Source organism: Homo sapiens, chromosome 12 (genome assembly GCF_000001405.40).
Source record: "Homo sapiens chromosome 12, GRCh38.p14 Primary Assembly".
Classification (NCBI taxonomy): domain Eukaryota; kingdom Metazoa; phylum Chordata; class Mammalia; order Primates; family Hominidae; genus Homo; species Homo sapiens.
The window spans coordinates 107133978-107145406 of record NC_000012.12 but is presented as its reverse complement, the minus strand read 5'-3'; the positions used below and the strand labels follow the sequence as shown (position 1 = coordinate 107145406).

The 11429-nt window shown below is 43.6% G+C and overlaps 1 annotated feature.

Annotated features, from left to right (window-relative positions):
- Window positions 10542-10836: an enhancer, noted in NCBI's record as "tiled region #11431; HepG2 Activating DNase matched - State 12:CtcfO, and K562 Activating non-DNase unmatched - State 13:Ctcf". NCBI's record gives its function as "activates a minimal TATA promoter and a strong SV40 promoter by Sharpr-MPRA in HepG2 and K562 cells {active_cell/tissue: HepG2 | K562}" and the evidence as "EXISTENCE:reporter gene assay evidence [ECO:0000049][PMID:27701403]".

Here is an 11429-nt window from a genome sequence, read left to right as displayed (position 1 = left end):
CACATTGTATGCATGTATCCAAATATCACATGTGTCCCATAAATATGTACAATTATCATATATAAATTTTTTAAAACGTTTGGGAAAATTCACCAATTAAGAAGAATTTTTTTTCTAAGAAGCTGTTTCCCCATGCCTCACCCAAGTCCACTGGTAGGGCTTAACCCCTTTGTTCTTGAATTCCTGCCATTAAGCTAATCTTGAGTCTGGTATTCCTGCTGTTCCCTGTTATTTGATCCTTCCCATCTATTTTTCTGAACTCGACCTATAAGACTGAAGTGATTAGTTTTATAATATATGTTTGTAGGGAAGGTCTGAGACTTTTCCCCTGATAGATGAGTGAGGTTGTCTATGTAATATTGATTTTTTAAGTTATTTTGTCATTTCTTGCTTATAAAATCATAAATTACAGGGCCAGATGATATCTTAGGGTACATTGAGTTCAACTCTCAACTCTCTGGGGTTAGGAAATGGAGGTCCAAAGGGGGTCAAAGACTTCTCAAGACCAGCATCTTGCACAGAGATGAGCCTAGGCCCCAGCTCACCAATTTCTAAGGCTCTCTCCACTGCATCACAGGGAGAAAAAGCAAGCCGTGTCAAAGGGAAGAAACAGAATCCCCTCCTGCCGACGAGGAGGCATGTGACTCCTTCCACATATTGCATGTTTGTTACTCTGGGAATTAATGGCTCAATCTGGTATTAAACAAAATGGGTCTCGTGGCTGATCTGGCCCAAGTGAAGGATCAGCAAAATGGAGACGTGAGCTTCCCTGCATGATAATTAGAAGTAGTCCCTGAATGGGTAAGACAAACACATTAAGCCTTTCTGCAAAGCCAATTTTGGGCAATGGTCTGATTGCTGGATAAATCACACCAAGAAGTTGAAATGAGTGGTGAGGATGGCACAAGCAGGGTACATTAGAGGGTAGCAAACGGTTTTCTTTACCTTCGAGAAATCACTCTATCAGAAGTAGAGAGGAATTGTGCAGAATGTCCAGGGAAATAAGGATAGACAAGGAAGAAGAAAAAAGCATATATGAAATACATAAATCAAAAGGATAAATCGATGTTAGAGGTGGTATAGAATTAAAAGAAAGTAAGAAACTGATAGCTAAAGACAGGGCTGAAAGGGGAGAGACGACTGCAAGGGAAACAAAATACCCAAAAATATACTTCCCTCTCAATGGTTCCTTGACTTGGTGATTTATTCATAGTGTATTTTTTTATGCCAGGTTAGACTGACATGGCCACAAAGCACAGTACTCCTGTTCTCTCCCTTTGCTAGCCTATATTCAGAGGATGCAAATTAGTGTAATGCTAAGTAAAGCATGGACAGGAGACTAAATTTATTACAGTCTTAGCTATCAATCATTTATTGACTTACTCATGTACTCAAAACGTATTTATTGGGCATCTAATATGTACCAGGCACTGTGTTGAGATACAGTAATATACAAAGTTGTTGTAGACCCTGTCCTTGTTGAGCTAACACTCTAACAGGAGAAGAAAAATGATGTAGTACAAAGCCACATAAAAGTAATTCAAGATATTAGCTACTCTATGGCTCACGCCTGTAATCCCAGCACTTTGGGAGGCCGAGGCGGGTGGATCACGAGGTCAGGAGATCGAGACCATCCTGGCTAACACGGTGAAACCCCGTCTCTACTAAAAATACAAAAAATTAGCCAGGTGTTGTGGGGGTGCCTGTGATCCCAGCTATTCAGGAGGCTGAGGCAGGAGAATGGCGTGAACCCGGGAGACGGAGCTGGCAGTGAGCCAAGATTGCGCCACTGCACTCTAGCCTGGGCAACAGAGCGAGACTCCGTCTCAAAAAAAAAAAAAAGATATTAGCTACTCTACAGCTTGGGTATCAGGACTGTACTTGCAACATACAACAGAAAACCTAAATAATAGTGGCTTAAACAAATAGAGGTTTATTTTTTACATTTAATAAGAAATACAAGCAAACAGAGATTTATTTTTCATACATAGAAATACAAATACAGTCCAGAGAACGTGCAACTCCTCAAAAATGACACCAGGACCCAGACTGGGTGGCACAATGGTTAAGTGCAAGGACAGTAGCACCAGGCTGTGTGGACTGCTGCTACTTACTAGCTCTTATTGAATCTTACTCAACCTTGGCTCTGCTACTTATTAGCTGTGTGACACTGGGAAAGTTACTTAACCTCTCCCTAGTCCTCCAGTTTTCTTATCTGTAAAATGGAGATGAAAATAATAGCCTCACCCCCTAGGCCTATTGAAAGGATTAATAGTTTGATACATGCAAACTACTGGCACAGTGCAGTAGGCAGTATGTAAGTGTTCCTGCAGATATGGATATTAGATGTACATATTAGATGCTCAATAAACATGTTTTAAATAAATACATAAGTCAATAATTGCCCTGACTTTACAAGTTGGATTTTGTTCTCATGTTTGGCTCCTCATAATCTGTTTCAAGAAAGCTGCTGCATCCTGAGGCATCACATAGTATTCTGGACACGAAAAAGGAAAATGAAATAAAAATGACATGGCAGCTCAATCCAACCCTTTAAAAATCAGGAATACAAAAGCTTTTCTAAAAGTCCCCTGCAGCAGACTTTGCTTTCATCTCATTGGACAGAACTGTGTCACATGACCACACCTGGCTGGAAGGTGAAGAACTCAGGTTGTAGATGAGTTAAGGAGACCGTGGATGGGGGTTGGAATCGGGGCATGGGATCAGCCACCGATGTCTGCTGTGGCTTCCATTTAGAGACAGCCACTTGACATATTTCCATTTTGATGTGCACTTTTCCCCTCAATTACATGACTCAAGCTGGGTGAAGTGAATAGTCCCAGCTTCCCATCTACCTGTTACCCACCTGGGTCCCATTTCCTCCACACAAGATAAGTCACCCCAAGTTATTCATTTCCAACCATTCCAGCCAACTCAACTATTTACTACATTCCCAGTATGTATGCAAAACTTGCCATGTGCTGCAAGAGGACCTGAAAATTTAGAAATGATGCCTGGTCTCATAGATCATACAATCTCTTCTGGCAAGAGGTGGCCCAAATTAAGGAATTTATGAACATTATGGAAAGAAATCTGGCCTTAAGAATCGATAGCCTTAGAAATGTTCTTACCTTTAACCCAGCAATTTCATTCCAGGGCAACTCTCAACACACAGCTGGGAGGCCAGATAAAAATTATATGCACAAAGATGTTGACCACATGCTGTTTTCAATAGCCAAAAAGGCCATACAACTGAACGTTAAACAATCACAAAAATTACGCTTATAAGGAGCTTTTAATGTTATGGGAAACATTATGGAGAGTTTTTGTTAGGTTTTTATGTTTATGTTTTTAATGTCATGAGACATAATGTTATGAGAAAATGCTCATGATATGTTATTAAGTTGGGAGACAGTTTACAAATGTGCTTAACTCTATGCAGTATAGTGGTTAAGTATATAAACTTTGGAGTTAGATAGCCTAATTCCACATTTCTTCTCTGCAGCTCACCAGTTTCTTATTTGGGTATCGGGACTGTACTTTGCAACATACAGCAGAAAACCTGAATAATAGTGGCTTAATCAAACAGAGGTTTATTGCTTAACCATGGACCACCAAGTTACCATGTGACATGAGCCGCCCATCATGGACTGGGAATTATCTGACCCTTAGAAGACCTAACATCTCTAAGTCTCTAAATCCAGCATGGAAAGATATAGGCAGGAAGGGAAAAATTGTAAGAGGAAAGAAATGCCTTAGCAAGACACCATAATGGGAATGGGGTGGAGAACGTCAACAAGACCAGCCCGGGTAAAATAGTTTTCATCCACTGTGATCTCCTCTTCCTTACAACAGAATTTCTGCTCAACCCATCTCCAGTTTGTATACCCACCCACCCCAGAACACAGATCAGAATATACTTGCGTTAAGGTCACCAAGGACTTCCATGTTACTGAATCTAATGTTGCTCTCAACCTCGCTGAGGTGCCAGTGTTATCAGCACCTCTCATCTCTTGAACCCTCTTCTTTCTTTTCTTTTCCTGACTCCCTCCTGAGTTTTCTCATTGGCCTCATCACTCACTTCTTCCCCATTTCCACTCCCAGCTTCTACTCATCTGCTCCATCCCTAAACATTGGGGCATTCCAGATCCCAGCCCTGAGCCTTCCACTCCTATCTGAATGCTACATTTTTTTTTTTTTTTTGAGATGGAGTCTCGCTCTGTTGCCCAGGCTGGAGTGCAGTGGTGCGATCTCAGCTCACTGCAATCTCCGCCTCCTGGGTTCATGCCATTCTCCTGCCTCAGCCTCCCGAGTAGCTGGGACTACAGGCACCCGCCACCACGCCTGGCTAATTTTTTGTATTTTTATTAGAGACCAGGTTTCACCGTGTTAGCCAGGATGGTCTCGATCTCCTGACCTCGTGATCCACCCACCTGGGCCTCCCAAAGTGCTGAGATTACAGGCATGAGCCACCGCACCCGGCCCTGAATGCTACCTTTTATGATGACTCATCAACTTTCATCTCTAGCCCTGACATCTCCAGTTAAACTCCAAAATCCTTACCCAACATCTCCGACATAGCAAGTCCAAAAGAGAACTCTTGATTTTCCCGCTGAAAAATCTGCTGCTTTCCTAGTCTTGCCTGTTTTAGTAAATGATATGTTCAGCCAACGAGGTACTCAAGTCCCAAACCTAGAATTCTTCTGTTCCTCAAACTACTTCCTGCCCTCACTACATTTAATGGACCAGCAATCCCTGCTAGCTACAACTGCAAAATATATCACTTCTGACTCTCTGCATGACTCCAGCCTGCTCTACACCATCATAGTCTCTTGCCTAGGTCAGTTACCAAACTGTCTCCTTAACCGTTTCCTGTTTCAATGCTTACCTCCTAGATTAGTTTCCTAGGGATGCTGTAATACCATTTATTACAGCATCCCTAGAAAACTAATGGTATTCTAAGCCACAAACTCGGTGTTTTAGGACAATATAAATCCATTCTCTTACAGTTCTGGAGGCCAGGAATCCAAAATCAAAGTGTCAGCAGGACTGTACTCTTTCTGAAGGTGCTAGGGGAGAATTTGTGATGGTTAAGTTTATGTGTCAACTTGACTGGGCCACAGGGTGCCAAAATATTTGGTCAAATATTATTCTGAGTGTTTTGGCGGGGGTGTTTTTGGTTGAGTTTAACATTTAAATCAATAGGCTGGATAAAGCTGATTGCCCTCTCTAATGTGGATGGGCCCCATCACACAACACATTCCTCATTTCAGTGTGTTACTCCTACCCATTTACTGAGTGACCCAAAAAGCTGTGAGTTTTGAGTGGGGCCTAGAACAAAAGAAGGCTCTGCAACAGGTCCATGCTGCTGTGCAAGCTGCTCTGCCACTGGGCAACATAATTAAGAAGATCTAATCGTGCTTAAAGCATCACTGCTGATAGGGATACTGTTTGTAGCCTTTGGCAGGTCTCTATAGGGGAACTGCAATGTACATCCTTAGGATGTTGGAGCAAAGCTCTGCCATCCTCTGCAGGTAACTACAGCTGCTGTTTCTCCTTTTGAGAAAAAGCTCTTGGCCTGCTACTGGGCTTTAGTAGAGACTGAATGCTTAACCCTGGGCCACTAAGTTACCATGTAACCTGAGCTGCCCATCATGAACTGGGAATTATCTGACCCACCAAGCCATAAATTGGATGTGCACAGCAACACTCCATCATCAGATGAAAGTGGTACCTCCATGATGGGGCTCAACTAGGCCCTGGTGGCATAGGCAAGTTACATGAACAATCAGCCTAGCCAGGCGCGGTGGCTCACACCTGCAATCCCAGCACTTCGGGAGGCCCAGGTGGGCGGATTGCTTGAGGTCAGGAGTTAGAGACCAGACTAGCCAACATAGCAAAACCCCATCTCTACCAAAAATACAAAAATTAGCAGGGCATACTGGCACTTGCCTGTAATGCCAGCTACTCAGGAGACTAAGGCAGGAGAATCGCTTGAACCTGGCAGGCAGAGGTTGCAGTAAACTGAGATCGTGCCACTCCACTCTAGCCTGGGCGACAGAGTGAAACTCCATCTCAAAAAAAAAAAAAAAATCAGCCCAAATATCCATGGTTCCCACTTCTGCTACACTGTGTTCTCTCTCTGAGTTCCATCTACAGCATTATGGGGAGTTTCCTACAATTAGTTGACAGAGGAAGAGAAAACTCAGGCCTGGTTTACAGATGGTTCTGCATGATATGCAGGCACCACCGGAAAGGGGACAGCTGCAGCACTACAGCCCCTTTCTGGGATATCCCTGAAAGACAGTGGTGAAGGAAAATCCTCCCAGTGGGCAGAACTTTGAGCCATGCACCTGGTTGTTCACTTTGCTTAGAAGGAGAAATGGCCAGACATGCAATTATATACCAGTTCATGGGCTGTGGCCAGTGGCATGGCTGGATGGTCAGGAACTTGAAAGTGAAACAATTGAGAAAATGGTGACCAGAAATTTGAAGAAAAGGTATGTGTAGAACTCTTGGAATGGGCAAAAATGTGAAGATGGCTGGGAGCAGTGGCTCACGCCTGTAATCCCAGCACTTTGGGAGGCCAAGGCGGGTGGATTGCCTGAGGTCAGGAGTTCGAGACCAGCCTGGCTAACATGGTGAAACCCCATCTTTACTAAAAATACATTTAAAAAAATTAGTGGGCCTGGTGGCAGGCGCCTGTAATCCCAGCTACTCAGGAGGCTGAGGCAGGAGAATAGCTTGAACCCTGGAGGTGGAGTTGCAGTGAGCCGAGATCCTGCCACTGCCCTCCAGCCTGGTGCAAGACTCTGTCTCCAAATATATATATATATATTTGGGTCCTATGTGAATGCTCAGCAAAGAGTGATTTCAGCAGAAGAGGATTCTAATAATCAGGTGGATGGGATGACCTTTTCTGTGCATATTAGTCAAGCCTCTTTCCCCAACCTCCACTGCCACTGCGCAGTGAGCTTGTGAACAAGGTTGCCATGGTGGCAGGGATGGAAGTTATGCATGGAATAAGCAACATGGACTTCCACCCACCAAGTCTTACCTGTCTACAACTGTTCCATGTTCAATCTGCCAGCAGCAGAGAACAACACTGAGCCTCCAATATGCCACCATTTCCTGGGGTGATCAGCCAACTACCTGGTGGCAGGTTGATTACATTAGATCACCTCTGTCACAGAAGGGGCAGCATTTTGTTCTTACTGGAATAGAAACTTTATCTGGATGCAGATTTGACTTCCCTGCCTGCAGTGCTTCTGCCAAAACTACCATATGTGGACTTTCAGAATGCCTTACCTTTCAGAACGCCTGTGTGGTATTCCACACAGCATTGCTTCCAATCAAGGAACTCACTTCATGGCAAATGAAATACAGCAATAGGTCCATGCTCATGGAATTTCATGGTCTTCATCTTACCATGTTTCCCAACATCCTGAAGCACCTGGCTTGACAGGTTGATGGAATGGCCTTTTGAAGACTCAGTTATAGCACCAGGTAGGTGACAATACCTTGAAGGACTGGAGCAAGGTTCTCCAAAGGCTGTGGATGCTCTGAATCAGTGTCCAATATATGACACAGTTTCTCCCATATTCCATATTCAGAGTTCATGAGGCCAGAAGCCAACAGGTGAAAATGGGAGTGGCATCACTCACTATTACCCCTAGCAACCCACTAGCAAAATTTTTGCTTTCTGTTCCCACAACTTTATCCTCTTCTGGCCTAGATGTCATAGACATCTTTTTCCTGAGAGGGAAGAATGCTTCCACCAAGAGACACAAAAATTATTTCACTTAACTGGAACTTAAGACTGCTGATTGGCTACTTTGAGCTCCTCATGACTCTAGTTGGGGTGACTGATCCTGACTACCAAGAGAAATTGGACGAGTACTTCACAGTGGAGGTGAGGAAGAACATGGCTGGAATATAGGAGATCCCTTATGATATCTCTTAGTATTACCATGCCCTGTGATTAAGGCCAAATGAAAACTACAGCAACCTAATCCAGGCAGGACTACTAACGGCCCAGACTCTCCAGGAATGAAGTTTTGGGTTACCCACCAGGTAAAGAACCACAACCAGCTGACGTGCTTGTTGAAGGCAAAGGGGATACAGAATAAGTAATGGGAGAAGGTAGTTATAAAGACCAGGTATGACCACCTGGCCAGTTACAGAAACAAAGACTATAATTGCCAAGAGTATTTTCTCTTTATTTTGTTATAAATATGTTTATGTGTATGTCAAATATCTTTGTTTTCTTCCCTCTTCTATTCCCTTATCATCCAACATAGATGTATTAACTTTGTGTCATAGTATTTAAGTATTATTAATTTTACATCATAGTATTAAGTTATGGGATATCAAGGAGAAGAGTAAATATCACTCAAGGACTTCTCTTCTAGAGAAGGAGTTCGTGCCTTTTTGGCTGTATGAAGATTAGTTGGCAGAACTGGTAGAATTATAACCTTGATATTGTCTTCATTTGGAGATTAAGTATGGTTTAAGAAGATGATGACAAGGGGTAGATTGTGATGGTTAATTTTCTATGTCAACTTGACTGTGCCATGGGGTGCCCAGATATTTGGTTGTATTAATCCATTTTCACACTGCTGTAAAGGACTACTTGAGACTGGGTAATTTATAAAGGAAAGAGTGAGTGGAGATCCAGCCTGGGTGACAGAAAGAGACACTGTCTCAGAAAAAGAAAAAAAAATGGAATCACTTGGTTTACATCGTTTACATAGTTGCTTACTTTTTTATAGTCCATATTTCAGGACTGCAGAGACTTGATCTCGCTTGTTCACTGCTGTATTTCCCAGTGCCTAAAACAGTGTCTGGCCACAGCAGGAACTTGAAAAAGATGTACGAAATAAATAAAACAGCACACTACTAGTAGTAATAATGAAACAAGTAATACTAAGACTAATGCCTTTCTTTGTATAATGTTGTGTTGTTTCAAAGCACTTTCAAATATGGAGCTATATATAGAGTAGGATTTTTTGGGCCATTCTATAGGCTGAGGTTCAAAGCTGAAGACAAATGACACTAGATAGCCCCATATTCCAAGCTCAAGGAGCTTTCTAGAAGCCATTAGCCATTGAAATCATCTGCCTTCCTGCAGAGTTTGCTGAAAAGACACCAGAACTGGTACAAATACTTCCATCTACTACCAGTCACCCCTCACATAGGACTCAATGGCCAAAAGAGTCCATTGACTCTTATGAAGCTGAGGCGATCCTCCCACTTCAGCCTCCCAGGTAGCTAGAAATATAGGTCTGTGCCACTATGCCTGGCTAATTTTTGTATTTTTTATAGAGACAGAGTTTTGGCATGTTGCCCAGGCTGGTCTCTAACTCCTGAGCTCAAGTGATCCACCTGCCTTGGCCTCCCAAAGTGCTGAGATTACTGGCATGAGCCACCGCACCTGGCCCCAGCATTTTTTCTAAATAATATGAAGGAACTAGAGAAAGTGCCGAGGTAGGGAGAGGCAGGGAGAGAAAAACATCACTGGCCTTAAAGAAAGTGCAGTGTTTGTGGAGAGAGAACATTCTCTCCTCTAAGCCAGGAATACCTCTTGTGATGTTAGGTGTTATTGACTGAATTATGTTCTCCCAAAATTCACATGTTGAAGCCCTAACCCCAACACACTGGTATTTGGAGATAGACCCTTTGGGAGATAACTCAGTTCAGATGAGATCATGAGGGTGGGGCCCTCATGATGGGATTAGTACCCTTGTAAGAAGAGGAAAAGGCACCAGAGAGCTTGCTCTTTGCCATGTGAGGACACAGTAAGAACACAACCATCTGCAGGCCAGAACAAGGCCCTCACTAGAACCCGACCATGCTGGCACCCTGATCTCAGACTGCCAGCCCCCAGAACTGTGAGAAGTAAATTTCTGTTGTTGAAGCCACCCTGTGTATGCTACTTTTTGTTATGGTAGCCTGAGCAGATTAAGACATTAGGGGAGCTTGCAAGACAAAGAGCTTCCCATTTCCTGGTGGGTTGTTTGCTGATCTCTGGTACCTGCTGGGCCAGTCATCAAGCTGTCCCCAAGCATTCTCTAGTGAGAGAGAGCTCTTGGAGAATGTTTTAAAAACCCAGGAATAGCCCATAAACCTTCTCATTTCTCTCCTTACTATGGGAAAAAAGAGTAGGTGCCCGAAATGTGCAGTCTTGTATTTGGGGGACTTTGGAAACAGACTGGTGCTTACTTAACTTCTTACTGAAGTTGGATATCTTGGTGGGATAGCCCATACCCACAGGGCTGGAAATATCCATGGTGCAGTGTGGTGTGGCTGGAAAGAAGACAGTGAAGGCCCACTCCATACCTGTTCTCTGTGGCCTTTAGAGGGTGCAGAAGAGGAATTTGGAAATTTCTGTGTCTCCACTGGGTAAAGCAATACCAAGGCAAGAAGAGCAGGAATCTTTGAGCAGCCCTGATGACCCCTGGACCAAATGATGGAATGTCAACCAGGGAAAGTGGTCCCCAGTGGCAGAGGAGACCCAATACCACTCCAAAGAAAAACATGCACACCACCTGTGAGGAGACCACCACTCCAACAGAGGGCGCTAGCATCAGATAGACCCAAATAGAACTGGAGGGAAGCCAGAGGCACAACTTTTGCCTACCCCTGGTGGCCTTGTGGGCAATCACAGAAGAATACCTCTGCTTCCTGTAACCTTCCTCCTTGCCCTCAATTACACAAGAACTGGGGGGAGGAGGGGGGAATGGGGGCAGGGCAATGACCTCAGAGCCATCTCTGGTCTTTGGTCTTCCACTCCAGGCTCCCAGGGCTGCAAAAGAGAATGATCTACCTGGGGCCAGGAACAGAACTTTTAATCAAGCTTGATATTGGGGTCATGAAAATAAACTGCGCTGTGTCTTAAACTCTGAGACAAGATTGCCCACACCACAAGGTGACTAGGAAGTTATTAAATCTGTCCAAGCTATCACCAAGGGAGCACTATCCCCAGGAAAAGAGCAATACAACATAGCACAGTTGGAAGCAATGATTGGGGAAAATAAAACTACTTCATGGCATTATACCCAAAGGGATTGAGACCCTTCAGATAATTGATTGCATACACACTGTTAGAAATTTGAGCCTCAAAATTGTTCTTTGAAGTTAGTTATTATTATCCCATTTTACAGATGAGAAAAGAGAGACCCAAGAATCCTGTTAAATTACTTGTCCAAGGTCACAAAGCTAATAAGTAGCAGAACCAACAGCTCAGCTATAAGTCCAATGGTCTTTTCAGTGACAACCAAGTCACCATTACCTTTTATTAAGTGGTTACAATGGAAGCCAACCCTGAACTAAGGACTTTCATTCCAGTGTCTCATGTAATCCTTACAACTCTCCAGAGGCAGATTTTCCTACTTTCATTTTGCAAAGGAGGAAGCTGCCTCTCTCACTGT